A 17,086-nucleotide genomic window follows, 5' to 3' on the forward strand; every position below is an offset into this window, starting at 1 on the left:
CGTGTTAGCCAGGATAGTCTCGATCTCCTGACCTCGTGATCTGCCTGCCTCGGCCTCCTAAATTGCTGGGATTACAGGTGTGAGCCACCTCGCCCGGCCCCTTTGGGTGTCTTTTAAAGAATATCCTTTGAAAGATCAGGGTGCCTCAACCTTGGCACTGTTGACATTTTGAGCGAGATAATTCTTGATTGCTGCGGGCTGTCCCATGCCTTGTAGGATATTTAGTAACATTCCTGTCCTCTACTCACTAGATGCCAGCATCAACCCTCAGTCCTGACAATCAGATATGTCTCAAGGCACTGCTGAATATTTTCTGAGAGCAAAACCATTCTGGCTTAAAAACTACTACACTAAATCAGAGGTCCCCAATCCCCGGGCCACAGACCGATACCAGTCCATGGCCTTTAGGAACTAGGCCGCACAGCAGGAGTTAAGCAGCAAGCAAACCAGCATTACTGCCTGAGCTCCACCTCCTGTCAGATCAGTGGTGGCATTCGATTCTCATAGGAGCACAAACCCTATCATGAGCTGCACATGGAAGGCATCTGGGTTGCATGTCCTTATGAGAATCTAACTAATGCCTGATGATCTGAGGTGGAACAGTTTCATCCTAAATCCACGAAAGCAGTCTCTGGTCCCAAAAAGGTTGGGGGTTGCTACACTAAATGATATAAATGAGTACTATCATGTGTCACACACCCTTTTATGCCCATTTTTATGTGTTAACTCAATTAATCCTCTTAGCTACTTTTTAAGGTAGATTCCATTGTTAGCATCCCCATTTTACAGATGAGGAACTGACACAGAGTGGTTAAGTAATTTGCCGAAGTCACCCATCCATAATTTAATCCCTTCAGCCTGCCTACAGATTCCTATAATCTTAACTGTTTATTCCTTTTTGTTCTATGTAAGTGGTTTGTGCCTCCTGATGAACCATGCATGTTAATACTTTGAGGACTTCTCTTCTAGATGCCTCAGGATTTGTTCTTGATGTGATTTCCAATTTTTAAACTGATTTGGTTTTGATGATGATCTTTGTTTTTTAAAAGCTAGTTACATATTGATCCACAGGGCATGGTGAATCTGTCCTTGGCCCCTTGGCTGTTTGAAATGGGGTAAGCTCTGGGCAAGTTCCTTTGCAACGTCAAGCAAAGGAGTGCATTGATATAAATGCCAGTGAGTTCATTGGAAACGCTCTCACAGAGGCAAGACACTGGAAACGCATCTATTTTTGTCCTTGGTCAGCTGTGCTATAGCTAAAACATTAGGGCCTAATGGCTTCCCATCCTTGTTGTCACGCTCATGGCCTCTTGATCTAGTTTGCCTTCTCATGCTTGCTTTGGTCTTACTCTCGCCTCCCCTGAAAAAGAGATTATTTTCCGTTACATTATGGCTATTATTTGCTTAATAACCCAAATTCAGGAAGCAGAATAACTTTTAGAACTAAATTCTCCAAATCCTGAAAAACCTACTGGCCTTGGAGAATTCAAGAAACCTGGCTAAAGCTCACCAGTCACACAGACAAGGAACATTTCCTAAGCACTAAGTGGAGAGGAACAAGGCAGTGTGGGCCGAGCATCTCTGCCGGAGTATATAGTTCATGCTTTCAGTCACAGGAATGCACCTGTGAGAAAATACCTAATACAATTAGGAACCTAGAATAAGTGTCTTCTTTTCCAAAATCAACTTACTTAGGTGCAAACAATATTTGATTAATCTTTAAAAGGAATTTCAGAGACAAGTCCAACTGCATTTTGGTAGAAAAAAAAACTTTACCTTCCCTTTTAAAAGCCTTTTCCAGAGTTTTAGTGAATCGCCTTGTATATAATCTTGACCAGCAGAGGGCTTCCATACCTGACAAATGATGTCTGAACAGAACAAAAGGGTCACAGAATTTCTCAGTATTTGATATTTGTTTTTCATTCTCCTTGTTTTTCTTCTGTTTTGATTGCCAAAGTCCTTTCAAGTTGAGTTTTTACTGAACTACAAAATGTTGATTTCCACCCCCCCACCCCACATACTGTATAAGGTATAACCAGATCTTTTTTGTGTATAAAAAGTAAGGTTAGCACTGTGGAAATGTTTTCTGCTAATTTGGTTATATAAAGGCTATTTCTATAGGAATTGATATTTTGTAGGAATTTACAAATCAAATTTACAAATTTGATTTACAAATTAAATAGGAATCTGTTCATTGCTAACCCTCATTAAGAGAGAAATATCCTCTTTTTTTTCTGTATATATCACATGAAGCATTAGCTTTGCAATACTGTTGGTATTGGCCTCTAGCATAAACTGTTGAGTCATCTTTTCAAGACCTGGTTGCCTAAGAGAACATTTTTATCAACCCACCACTCTCCATTTTATATTCTAACCCTTTTAACATTCAGAAAACTTTAGATCCTGAAAGCACACCCACGATTGAGAATGGCTGGTGTATGATTATTGTGAACATGTACAGGCAGACATGTAGATGGTTTGGTGTATGTTGATGCTTATGCATGCCCTGTCCATAAGTTGGTACCCATAAGCCAGTGAAGTTGGGAGTAACGAACCATTGACTAATCTGATGATTTTTCAGTGCAGAGGTATGTTTCAGAGATAGGTAGACATGTACCTGAGCAATTGTCTCCTTGCCAGGCATTCTGCACATGCTTATTGACATCTCCTAAAGGCGATGTCCCCGCTTTCTGTTCTCCCTCAAGGGAGTTATCTAATAGCAGGGCTATTGGGTACCCTCAGGCTGGTGGGAAAGATATTTGTGACAGGTTTCTTAGTTCACATCACATAGGCAGATATTCATTTGTACTGTTCTCACCTATGAACTATATACAGTGATTAAAAGTATTGGCAACCAAAGATACTATGAAGATGAATTGCTTTGGTTCTAAAGATAGAACTGGAACTAAATTCTAGATTTACAGAAACAATAGCCCATGTAATCGATTATCCTTTCTACATTGGGTGCTAGAAATTTTAGAGTCATGTTTACTAAGGTTCACTTCTGGTTAAGGGCACAGGATCTCATGACATCATCATGTGTGGAGTTCTTATATTTTCCCACTTAATTTCTTGTGTTGAGTGTATTTTTGTCAGGTATTTTGTATCTATCTGGGTGCCTAGGAGAGTATAAAAATAAATGTATGGAATTTCCAAATCCTGGAATAGAGTGGTCATGCCACAGCAGAACAAAAATGTCAAAATATTTGAAACCAGAAATACATTAATTGAGGTCATTTCGAGGAAGGCTGATGACTGTCTCTCAGTCTATGGAAAAAGTAGGTAGGCTTTGTCTTCCAGCTTTATGAGTAAAACAGGGTAAAGCTAAAAGAAGAATAGATTTGGAATCAGAGAACCATGGTTTTCATCATGGAGAGGTGATATTTTATGACCATGAGGCACATGGGCTCCGGGCCAGATTGTTCATTTGAATTCCAATACTACCCTAAAGGTTGCTAGATGACCTTCACCAAGTTACTCCTCTGTCCTTCTGTTTTGCCACCTATAAAATACAGAAAAATTTAGTATCTGTCTCACACAGTTATAAGGATTAAATGAAATAATACACATGAAATGTTGAGAGGATGCCTGCTACATAATCAAACCTCAAATCCGTTCATTACTATGATAGTCTTGTGGTTCTGTCACTTTTATTGGAAATGTCACTTTAGCTGAGTCCCAGTTTCCTCATCCCCCTGACCCTCCAGAAAAAAATAATACAACATCATACTCTTCTGGTAAGGAATAAGGGATAATTGTGAAAGAATTTGTCATTGCAAAACACTGAAGAAAAGTAACGTGGTATTAGTGTTACATTTTTTGTGCACATCTTAGTTTTGTATTAGAAAAAATATGCAGGTTTACATGGAAAGTCACATTGGCCTGGTTAGCCTTATTAAAGTAAATAAGTTGGGAAACATATTCAGAAAGTTTAGAAATGCAACTAAAGAGGCACCTTTATCTTTGAATTTTTTTTTTTTTTGGTTATTTTAGCTTGTTAAATTATTTTTCTTTGGCACTGACCTTTGGCATTTTTACTACTTGATTGTAGAGACATTCCAAAGGAGAGAGTGGACATGTAACTATTATTGGAATTTGGGAAACTAGAAGGAGGGGGAGGTGAAAGAGACTGTTAGGTCAGCCTAAGGGTAAGATTGATGATGACTGGGATGGGGAGTTGTAGGAGATTAACACCTAATTACTTAAAAGAAACAATTTTAACAAATGAAAGAAGGAGGTGAGTATTGGTTTAACACTTGAGGATTTCTATTCCTATCTGTGTCTTACTATCATTTGTACAATATCAGCAGGTGGCTTGCATTTTGAACCAACCCTTCTCTCTTATTTCCCTGGTGATATTTTATGGTTTCCACACCTCAGTGTGTGTTTTTCTTAGCACACTCCTTCGTCTGATTAAGTACAGGAATGTCAAAGGTCATTTCTACCATCATCTGTGTCTGACCTTGGTTTACATTCATCTCTCTCTCTCTCTCTCTCTCTCTCTCTCTCTCTCTCTGAAGTCTCTAACAAGAAGCAGAACAGTAAAGACATTGGGCAGATGTTTAACAGACCAGGGTGTTGTCTAAAGTATGGGTTCACCCACTTTAAAGAACAGCAACAACAAGATTCACATTAAATTTTTATCTTTCTGGTTATCAGCATGAATTCTTAAAATATTCTATAGATAACTGTAATATGTTAAAAATCATTCAGGTGATCATTATGTCCATTAATTAATAAAGTCCTATACATTTTGACTGTGTTGAACCACACATCCTGCCCTGAATTCACCATACATTTTCATTTTCCATACTTGGCTCGTCCTGGAAAGCTTTCTATCATGGAAGTCACAAACCAGATGCCCATATTCAAAATTAAATGTGTCCATGTCTTTTATTTACTTTGTGTAGTTTTATTTACTGATTTGAATTAGATACATATACTTCGAAAGTCAACAATTTCACAGAGAAATTTCCATATTATCTTGAAAAATCAGAAGATCTGGCAACTCTCGGCCCGTGGGCTTCCATAGTAATGGCCAGAGCTGCCTTGTGGCTGCCACTTTGACAGGAGATAAGCTTCTCGTTGGTCACAGTTGGTATCACTCCCATTTGCTTTTCTTCCCTCAGCTAGATTTATTCCCTGAAAGCATCTGTCTCCTGTAAGATTTGAGCTTATGACCTTGGAGTAGAAGCCAGATTATCTCTCAAGGCTACCTATGTTTGCCCAAGCCTCTGTTTCCCTTAGCGTTGCATTTCTTCACTACCCCCGCAAATTCTAAGTAGCCGTTTTGTAAATTTGTCTCCTCAACTCAGATGGTCAACTTCTAAGAGTAGAATCCAGTTCCTTCCCTCTTCATCTCTGACAGTACCAAGTGTAGTGTTTCTCCGACATGCATGCATCTTTCAGCAGATTTGCCAGGATAGAGAATGAACTGGTTGACTGATAGTAAGAGCCTAGGAATGAGTTATTACCCTTCCACTGGCCTTTATGAGCTGCTCTGCAGTCGTGTAATTAAGAAGGCATTCACAGTTTGCTTTATAGCACTATCAAAGTTTCCAAAATGAATAAAATAGCTTCATCATTAATAATTTGGATTCATCATCTTTGACCCAAAGGCATCCCACACTAGAGACTGCAAACATTATTTTAAGCAGTTTATTGGATTATTGGATGAGTAACTAATGGATTAACAGGTCAAATAAATTAATGGATAAATTGATGTGAACATGTGGTTGAATGACTTTCCAATTGTAATTGTAACTGTAAAAGGCAGACACCCTAAGGGGGAATTAAGCAGTAGCAACAAACACTATTATCATTAGAGTTTCCGGAAGCAAGCATAACAGACAGGATGTTTTCTAATGAAACTGTAAAACAATTATAATAGCTCTTTGGAGCTTTGGTGTCTTTTTTGTTTGGTTTGGTTGTTTTCCTAGCGCATCCAAAGGAAGAAGCTGTGTTTGGAGCATCAGCCAGTTAAAGTATTGTAATTCTTGAAAATAACCATCTACTTGAGGGCCAAAGATGGACAGTAAAGTAGGCAATTAAGCATGTGCTACATAAATATGTGTAAATCTAATGCCATCTGCCACATTGTCCAAAGTGGACTAGTTGTCTTTATATCTCTACCTCATAAATCAGTTTTAAAGGGCTCCCTGAGGCAATGTTCCCTGTAATGACTGGGTACAAGATCTTCATTCTTTTGCTAAGACTATAGTTCTCTTGTTTCCCATGACTAAAATAACATACTTTTCTTTTGGGGTTAGAGAATCAGTTAACTTTGCCATGTAATAAACCACCTTAGAAATTAGTGGTGGTTAATAATTAAAATAACCATTTATTTAGCTTATGATTCTGCTGGACAGTTCTGGGCTGGGATCAGTTGGGCTGATTTTAGCTGGACTACCTCTTGTTTCTGTGGACATTTGACAGGTGACCTGGAGATTGGTTAGTCCCTTATGGTCTCACTCACATATCTGGTGGGTGGCTATGGTATTATGGGTACATGGATAACATCTCTTTCTCCCATAGCCTAACCCAGACTTGCTCACAGGGTTCAAGGGGTTCTAAAGACAGGAAGACAGGGCAAGTCCCAATGTGCAAATATTTAAGTTTCTGCCTTACAATTGCTATTGAACCATTGGCCGAAGCAAGTCATGTGACTAAGCCCAGAGTCAGTGTGAGTGGGTAGACTACCCAAAGACTTGGATGCAAGGAAACATATGTAAATGAGAGGTCATTACTCTGTCTACCACAAGGGTTCTTTCAGATTCATATAAATCAATTCACGTTTATTGAATACCTTCTAATGCCAAGTACTTTTCTGGGTAATTTTAGGTACATTTGGTCATCTTTTTTTTTTCCTTAGAGTAAGACTTTCTACAATCAAGTTACCTGCTAGGCACAGGATAGAAAAATTGTGATTTGTAATTCTGATACAATATTCATTTAGAATCATTCACAAAATTTTGAATAAATGGTAAAGCTTCTGAAGTTGTATAAATCTATGTATATAAATATTACATAAATGTAGAAGTGTTTGTATTTGCCAGAAGTTTATGCATGTTTATTTCCCTCTCAATCTAAATTTTCTTACCTATAAAAAGAATACAGCAAAAGTACCTTCCCTTTACAGCTGTTATGAAAACCAGCAAAAAGCTAAGCCTAGTGCCCAGCATAAAGAAAGCACCATCTAAATGCTCTGTGAGGGGCATTATTATATAGCCAAAGTGCCTCATGCCACTGCTGTTGCTATTGTTGTTAAATAATAGTAATGATGTCAGTAACAGCTTATTTCCCAGAAGTGAGATTTTGATTATACAAGAGCCACAAATCTCTCTAGGCCAGCCGTTGTTTTTCTATAACTTGTCCACCTTTCAGGGGTTGAGCTCAATCTCTGTATAATTTTATGTGAGGTTATTCTGTCTCTTTTATTTATGTGCCATTTCATTTCACCATACCAGAGCTTAGATACTTATGTCTTTCTCAATACATCAAATTGCCAAGTAATTTTGTTTTAAGAAGGAGAAGAGAGCTAGACAGTGTGTTGAATTTCAATTACTATTTCTTCACTAAGCCTTCTGTGTAATTCCCAATGACTGCAATGAGGCAGGAAGTTCTGCTTCAGAGCTTTGGATAATAGGAGATGTGGAGAAGATGTTTCCTCAGAGAGTGGTGTGTCCATTTACACCATTACAGTTTCATTGTTAAATATACTTTTAGCTATGTATTTCCTTCTCCGTCAAACTTTGTGTGTAGCTGAAGAGCTCTATCTACTACAAAATGCTCAGAGCTGTCAGTTTAATCTTAGATTGGATAGGACACTATATACCACGACCGAATTTTAAAGGAAAAAGAACGATCACCTAAAACAGGAGTCAACAAACGTTATATAAAGGAGCAGACAGTACATATTTTAGGCTGTGTGGGCTATAAGGTCTCTGATTAAATGACTCAACTTTGTTTTTGTAGGCCAAGTAGCCACAGACAACAGATAACTGAATGGCTGTAGCTGTGTTTCAATTAAACTTTATCAAAGCAACAGTGAGCCAGATTTGGCCTATGGCTGTAGCTTACCCACTGCTGATTTAGAAGGAATTCTACATCTTTTAAGCAATCAGCAAAGCAAAGAACGTGTATTTTCTAAGAAAGTTTGAGGTGTAGGTATAGCTGTTTGTAGTGGTGAGAACTGAAACCACCACGAGTATTTCAGCTTCCTCTGGAATGTGGTGCCATCCATAGACATTTTAAGATAACCAGACAAGAAGACAATTCTGTCTTCTTTATAATTAGTCCATACTGGGGAGTCTACTCTGTGTGTCTTTTATATTTGAAGACTAGATACTGATAATGGTGCAGTTAACTGGACTTTTAAATATCAAAGACCGGAAAATGTATCAGATCAACAGTTGCTAATTAAATAAATTCCACCAAGTCATGTAAACACACACACACACACACACACACACACACAAACACACCCCCTCTGCTACCACCTGTAGCATGAGAAAGACACTTCATTTTAGTACTTGGAGAAGACCTAGAGGATAGTCCTTTTAATTGGAAAAAAAAATACAGCATTGTGTAAAATGTGTTTTCCTCATTCTTCATGAATACTTTGTGTGGAGTAATTCTAGTTCATAAACTTATATTTCTGACTGCTTGATTTAAAGACTGCTGTCTTACCTACTCTAAATTCCAAGTCATGAGAATAGAAAGACTTCTAAGGAGCTTGTGGACATTCATGTCAATTGAATAACTTTCTACTTGATGCTTATACTATTTTCTCTAATGAGTCAGCTCATCAGTTACAATTGTTCTTCTCCTTTCAACTAACTGCTCACCCTGGTACTAGTTCTTCATCTTGGTGCTCCCAGTATCATCGTTCTAGTATTCCAATGTACTTTATTATCAGGTTATATGCAGTACAGGAGACATGGATATCACTTTAAATATGGCAAAAATAATCAGATCCTAACAGGTGAGATCATATAAATGACATTTCTAATGACATCTATTGAAGGGTTATAATGTGCTAGGTAACATGCCAATTGTCTCCATGCATTATATCTTTTAGTTTTCAAAACAAATCTATGAAATGGTTACCATTATTATTCTTATTCAAAAGATGAGGGAGCTGAGGCTAGGAGGTTAGTCATTTAATCCTTAGCTATTTACTTTTTCCTTGATGTTTGGACTCTAGATTGATGTTATTTGAAAGAAAACCATGAGAAACAAAATCATGTATGTAGTGTTTTGAATAATAATTATCCTTAGAAGTTTTTGAAGATAGACATAACTTTAGTAAAAGATTTAGGATAACAGTGTTTTAACTCAAGTAGACCAATACCAGTAATTCGTTATTTATCTGATATTGTGAAGTATTCCTTGTAATGATGTTTCTACATTTTTAAAGCTTACTCTTTAAATGCCAAAGCTAAGTTTTTAAAAGAGTGCTGTTTTAGAAGAGACATTGGTAGCCTTCTAAAAAATGGCAGCACATAGCTGCTTTAAAAAGGACTGACAAAGGAGGTGATTACATGATCAGAGCAGTGGCTTCAGCTTTCTGGAACAGTAAGGATAATCAACATTTTTATTAGCATAACTTGGGCTTGGTATGCGCTGGCTATTTGGTGTATAAAATACAAAATTTTATCCTATAATCCTTCTATGTTGAGATTAAGCAAAATTTTGTGATTCTATGACAAGCATTGGATAGTCTCAATATTATGAATAAATATTTTTATTTTTGTTATATTGATACATAATGGATGTACATATTTTTGGGCTACATGTGATAATTTGATACATGTGTATAATCAATTCAGGGTAATCTGTCACCTTAAATATTTATTTTTCTTTAGGAACATTCGAGTTATTCTCTTCTAGCTATTTTGAAATGTACGATGGATTAATATTAACTATATTCAGCCTATGGATCTATTGAACACCAGGTGTCCTTTCTTCTAACTGTATATTTGCACCCATTAATCAACCTCTCTTCAGCCTACCTTCCTCCCTACGCTTTCTGGCCTCTCGTCACCACCAACCTACTCTCTTTTCATGAAATCCACTCTTTTAGCTCCCACATATGAGTGAGAACATGTGATATTTGTCTTTCTGTGCCTCACTTATTTCACTTCACATAACTCCCAGTTCGATTTGTGTTGCTGCAAATGACATGGTTTCCTTCTTTTTGTGGCTGAATAATATTCCATTGTGTGTATATACTGTACTTTCTTTTTATCCATTCATCTACTGATGGCCACTTAGGTTGATTTCACATTTTAGCTCTTGTGAATCATGCTGCAATAAACATTGCAGTAGAGATATTTCTTTGCTATATTGATTTTTTTTCTTTTGGATGTATACCATCAGTGGAATTGCTAGTTCATGTGGTAGTTATATTTTTAGCTTTCTGAGGAACCTCTGTACAGTTTTCTATAGTGGCTACACTAATTTACATTCCCACCAGCAGTGGTACAAGGGTTCCCCTTTCTCCACATCCTTGCCAGCATCTGTTATTTCCAGACTTTTTGATAAATACCATGTTAACTGGGGTGAGATGGATATCTCATTGTGGTTTTGACTTGCATTTTTTGGATGATTAGTGATATTAAACATTTTTTCATATACCCCGTGGCCATTTGTAAGTCTTCTTTTGACAGATGTCTATTCAGATCTTTTGTCTATTTTTAAATCAAGTTTATTTGCTACTGAGTTGTTTGGGCTCTTTATTCTGGTTAATAATCCCTTGTCATATAGTTTGCAAATATTTTCTCTCATTCAATATGTTGTCTCTTCAATTTGGTTGTTTCCTTCGCTATGCAGAACGTTTTTAGTTTGATCTAAGTCCCATTTGTCCATTTTTTGCTTTTGTTGCCTGTGCTTTTAAGGTTTTTCACAAAAAAGCTTTGCCCAGACCAACGTCCTGAAGCATTTCCCCAAAAGTTTCTTCTAGGAGTTTCATAGTTTGAGGTCTTAGATTTAAGTGTTCAATCCATTTTTATTTGATTTTTGTGTATAGTGAGAGATAAGGGCCTAGTTCATTCTTCTGCACATGGTTATTCAATTTTCCCAGCACCATTTATTGAAGAGACTGATCTTTCCCATTGTATGTACTTGGCACTTTTGTCAAAACTGAGTTGGCTGTAAAAGTGTAGATTTATATCTGGATTCTCTATTCTGTTCCACTGATCTACTTTTATCTCAATACCATGCTATTTTGGTTAGTATAGCTTTGTAGTATATTTTGAAGTACAATAGTATAATGCCCCCAACTTACTTCTTTTTGATCAGCATTGCTTTGACTATTTGAGGTCTTTTATGTTTCTATACAAATTTTAGAATTTTTTTGTTTCTATGGAGAATATAACTCATATTTTGTTAGGGATTGCATTGAATTGTAGACTGCTTTGTTTAGTAGTCTCATTTTAACAATATTTTAATCTATGAGCATGGAATATCTTTCCACTTTTTTGCATGTCTTCAATGTCTTTGAAGTGTTTTATAGTTTTCCTTATACAGATCTTTCACATCTTTGGTTAAATTTATTTCTAGGTATTTTATATTCTTTGCAGCTACTGTAAATGGGATTGCTTTTGTAATTTTTTTCAGAGTGTTCACTGTTGGCATATATAAATACTACTGATTTTTGTATGTTGCTTTTGTATCCTGCAACTTTACTGAATTCGTTTATGAGCTCTAACAGTTTTTTGGTGGAGCCTTTAGATTTTTTAAAATGTAAGATTATGTCATCTGCATACAAGGCTAATTTGACTTCCTCCTTTCCAATTTGGGTGCCCTTTACTTCCTTCTCTTGCCTAATTGCTCTGGCCAGAACTTTCAGTACTGTGTTGAATAAAAGTGGTGAAAGTGGATATTCTTGTCTTGTTCCAGATCTTGGAGGAAAGGCTTTCAATTTTTCCCTGTACAATATGATGGTGGCTGTAGGTTTGTCATATATGGCCCTTATTATTTTGAGGTGTGTTCTTTCTATACCCAGTTTTTTATGGTTTTAACATAAAGTGATGTTGAATTTTACCAAAAGATTTTCCAGCATCAATTGAAATAATCATATGGTTTATGTTCTTGGTTCTGTTATTTATTGATTTGCATATGTTGAATTATTCTTGCATCCCTGGGATGAATTCCACTTGATCACGGTGAATAATTTTTTAAACGCATTGTTGAATTTAGTTTGCCTAGTATTTTATTGAGGATTCTTGCATCATGAATAAGTATTAACTTTTAGAAGTTTCGTTTTTGAAAAGGAGCCCACCTGGAGGATAAGAGTTTTGCACAGCAGCTATTCTATTAATTTGTTTTTCACATTGTCTTTCTTGGTTCCGATGTCATGGATGTTAAAATACATGATCCAACTGACTCAGCATAGGCCTCTGAAAAAAAGGTGAAGCAAATCTCTTTATTTTATTCACCATTACATCAATAATCTCTTAAATAATGGTATTCCCTCCCAGTAAGGCTGTCTGTGGATTCATTAGGCTCCTAATATAGTAAATCAAATCAATATGTGCATTAACAAATATATAGTATCCCTAAGCCTTAATAGAGAAAGAAATACATAAGAAATTATAAATGAGTATCAGCAAATGTAAACTTACATCTTTCTTAGCCACTGAAATAAGTATAAGGAACACTCTCAACCGTTAACATTTTAAAGAAGATGAAAGCTTTGGAAAGGTCTTTAGACATAGCCGGAAGCTTCATTTGCTCTCTAGTCAGGGCTGTCCAAGAAAAGATTTTTGCAATGATGGAAATGTTATACAAGGTTGGATTGTTTAGCTTTTAGAGCCACACTGGCCAATCAGTATGGTAGCCACAGACACCTATGGCTATTGACTGGTGACTTGAAATGTGGCTAGTGTGACTTAGGCAGTGAATTTTAAATTGCATTTAATTTTAATTGAGTTGAAATGAGTTCCTGAAATAGATTGAAACAAGAATGTACTTGGACTTCATTTACAGTGAGTAGTATGGCATAAGGATTTGGGGTTAGAATCTGTATCATGAATATCGTTTATCTATTGAAATTAAATCCTGGCTGTCATGGTGAGAAGTAGCATGTGCTGATAATTCTAATTCTATCTCCCTAATGTTAGTTGCTCAATAAATGATAGTTGCTATTATTACTGTTATTTCTAAAATTAACACTACTGTTTTTTTGGTTTTTGTTTACTCAGGAAAAAATTCCTGAGCACCTACTTACTACACTCCAGGCACTGTTTTTGGTGTTGGGGATGCATGTGAAAAGAGTTCAGGTATAATCCCTGCCTTCAAAGAGCTTACATTCTAATGAATTATCATTGTTGTTTTAATTCAATGATTTAATGAGATGCAAATTTGTTCATGCCACACTGAGATGCAGAAAGAGAATACATACATTTAATTTTTCTATAATTTGCTCTAACATCCCTCCCCTATTATACAGGATGAGGGAAAGGAAAGACTTAACTAGTTGGTTCTATCCAGCAGTTTTATCTGACTCCAATGCAATAATTTTTAAACAGTTTTATTTGGAGGGTAAGTTAAACTCAGCTTCTTTAGGTAAAAATAATCGCTTGTATTTTTGTCATGCTGCTGCTAAATTTTCTTCTTTTTTGGGGAGTTGGCTGTGATTTTTTTTTTGTTATTATACATTAAGTTCTAGGGTACACGTGCACAACGTGCAGGTTTGTTACATAGGTATATGTGTGCCATGCTGGTTTGCTGCACCCATCAACTCGTCATTTACATTAGGTATTTCTCCCAGCGCTATCCCTGCCCTAGCCCTCCACCCAACAACAGGCCCCAGTGTGGGGTATTCCCCTCCCTGTGTCCATATTTTCTCATTGTTCAACTCCCACTTATGAGTGAGAACATGCGGTGTTTGGTTTTCTGTCCTTGTGAGAGTCTGCAGAGAATGATGGTTTCCAGCTTCATCCATGTCCCTGCAAAGGACATGAACTCATCCTTTTTTATGGCTGCATAGTATTCCATGGTATATATGTGCCACATTTTCTTAATCTAGTCTATTATTGATGGACATTTGGGTTGGTTCCAAGTCTTTGCTATTGTGAATAGTGCTGCCATGAACATGCATGTGCATGTGTCTCTATAGTAGCAGGATTTATAATTCTTTTGGTATATACTTAGTAATGGGATTGCTGGGTCAAATGATATTACTAGTTCTAGATCCTTGAGGAATCACCACACTGTCTTCCACAATGATTGAACTAATTTACATTCCCACCAACAATGTAAAAGCATTCCTGTTTCTCCACATCCTCTCCAGCGTCTGTTGTTTCCTGACTTTTTAATGATTGCCATTCTAACTGCCGTGGGATGGTATCTCATTGTGGTTTTGATTTGCATTTCTCTGATGACCAGCGATGATGAGCATTTTTTCATGTGTCTGTTGGCTGCATATATGTCTTCTTTTGAGAAGTGTCTGTTCATATCCTTTGTCCACTTTTTGAAGGGTTTTTTTTTCTTGTAAATTTAAGTTCTTTGTAGATTCTGCATATTAGCCCTTTGTCAGATGGATAGACTACAAAAATTTTCTGTCATTCTGTAGGTTGCCTGTTCACCCTGATGGTAGTTTATTTTGCTGTGCAGAAGCTCTTTAGTTTAATTAGATCCCATTTGTCAATTTTGGCTTTTGCTGCCATTGCTTTTTGTGTTTTAGACATGAAGTCCTTGCCCATGCCTATGTCCTGAATGGTATTGCCTAGGTTTTCATCTAGGGTTTTTATGGTTTGAGGTCTAACATTTAAGTCTTTAATCCATCTTGAATTAATTTTTGTGTAAGGTGTAAGTAAGGGATCCAGTTTCAGTTTTCTGCATATGGTTAGCCAGTTTTCCCAGCACCGCTTATTAAATAGGGAATCCTTTTCCCATTTCTTGTTTTTGTCAGGTTTGTCAAAGATCAGATGGTTGTAGATGTATGGTGTTATTTTTGAGGCCTCTGTTCTGTTCCATTGGTCTATATATCTGTTTTGGTACCGGTACCATGCTGTTTCGGTTACTGTAGCCTTGTAGTATAGTTTGAAGTCAGGGAGCTTGATGCCTCCAGCTTTGTTCCTTTTGCTCAGGATTGACTTGGCTATATGGGCTCTTTTTTGGTTTCATATGAAATTTAAAGTAGTTTTTTCCAATTCTGTGAAGAAAGTCAGTGGTAGCTTGATGGGGATAGGATTGAATCTATAAATTACTCTGGGCGGTATGGAGACTTTCAAAATATTGATTCTTCCTACCCATGAGCGTGGAATGTTCTTCCATTTGTTTGTGTCCTCTTTTATTTCGTTGAGCAGTGGTTTGTAGTTCTCCTTGAAGAGGTCCTTCACATCCCTTGTAAGTTGGATTCCTAGGTATTTTATTCTCTTTGTAGCATTTGTGAATGGGAGTTCACTCATGATTTAGCTGTCTGTTGGTCTGTTATTGGTGTATAGGAAAGCTTGTGAATTTTGCACATTGATTTTTGTATCCTGAGATTTTGCTTATCAGCTTAAGAAGATTTTGGGCTGAGACTGTGGGGTTTTCTAAATACACAATTATGTCATCTGCAAACAGAGACAATTTGACTTCCTCTTTTCCTAATCGAATACTCTTTATTTCTTTCTCCTGCCTGATTGCCCTGGCCAGGACTTCCAACATTATGTTGAATAGGAGTGGTGAGAGAGGGCATCCTTGTCTTGTGCCAGTTTTCAAAGGGAATGCTTCCAGTTTTTGCTCATTCAGTATGATATTGGCTGTGGGTTTGTCATAAATAGCTCTTATTATTTTGAGATGCATTCCATCAGTACCTAGTTTATTGAGAATTTTTAGCATGAAGTGCTGTTGAATTTTGTTAAAGGCCTTTTCTGCATTGATTGAGATAATCATGTGATTTTTGTTGGTTCTGTTTATGTGACGGATTACATTTATTGATTTGCGTATGTTGAACCTGCCTTGCATCCCAGGGATGGAGCCCACTTGATCATGGTGGATAAACTTTTTGATGTGCTGCTGGATTCAGTTTGCCAGTATTTTATTGAGGATTTTTGCATCAATGTTCAACAGGGATATTGGCCTAAGATTCTTTTTTTTTGTTGTTGTGTCTCTGCCAGGTTTTGGAATCAGGATGACGCTTGTCTTATAAAATGAGTTAGGGAGAATTCCCTCTTTTTCTGTTGTTTGGAATAGTTTCAGAAGGAATGGTACCAGCTCCTTTTTGTACCTCTGGTAGAATTTGGCTGTGAATCTGTCTGGTCCTGTACTTTTTTTGGTTGGTAGGCTATTAATTATTGCCTCAATTTCAGAACCTGTTATTGGCCTATTCACAGATTCTACTTCTTCCTAGTTTAGTCTTGGGAGGGTTTATGTGTCCAGGAATTTATCCATTTCTTCTAGATTTTCTAATTTATTTGCATAGAGGTGTTTATAGTATTCTCTGATGGTAGTTTGTATTTCTGTGGGGTTGTTGGTGATATCCCCTTTATGATTTTTTTATTGCGTCTATTTGATTCATCTCTCTTTTCTTCTTTATTAATCTTGCTATCAGTCTGTTTTGTTAATCTTTTCAAAAAACCAGCTCCTGGATTGATTTTTTTTTTTGAAGGGTTTTTGTGTCTCTATCTCCTTTAGTTCTGCTCTGATCTTAGTTATTTCTTATCTTCTGCTAGCTTTTGAATTTGTTTGCTCTTGCTTCTCTACTTCTTTTAATTGTGATGTTAGGGTGTCTATTTTAGATCTTTTCTGTTTTCTCTTGTAGGCATTTAGTGCTATATATTTCCCTCTACACACTGCTTTAAATGTGTCCCAGAGATTCTGGTACATTGTGTCTTTGTTCTCATTGGTTTCAAAGAACATCTTTATTTCTGCCTTAATTTCATTATTTACCCAGTAGTCATTTAGGAGCAGGTTGTTCAGTTTCTATGTAGTTGTGTGGTTTTGAGTGAGTTTCTTAATCCTGAGTTCTAATTTGATTGCACTGTGGTCTGAGAGAAAGTTTGTTGTGATTTCTGTTCTCTTACATTTGCTGAGGAGTGTTTTACTTCCAATTATGTAGTCAATTTTAGAATAAGTGCGATGTGGTGCTGAGAAG

The 17,086-nt window shown here is 36.7% G+C and overlaps 1 protein-coding gene across 1 annotated transcript in view; it reads left to right on the forward strand.

Annotated features, from left to right (window-relative positions):
• The window catches only part of RARB (retinoic acid receptor beta), a 768,612-nt gene that overhangs the window by 132,809 nt on the left and 618,717 nt on the right, over positions 1–17,086 (forward strand). The window lies entirely within an intron of this gene.

This window comes from Homo sapiens, chromosome 3 (assembly GCF_000001405.40).
Source record: "Homo sapiens chromosome 3, GRCh38.p14 Primary Assembly".
In the NCBI taxonomy this organism is placed as follows: Eukaryota; Metazoa; Chordata; class Mammalia; order Primates; family Hominidae; genus Homo; species Homo sapiens.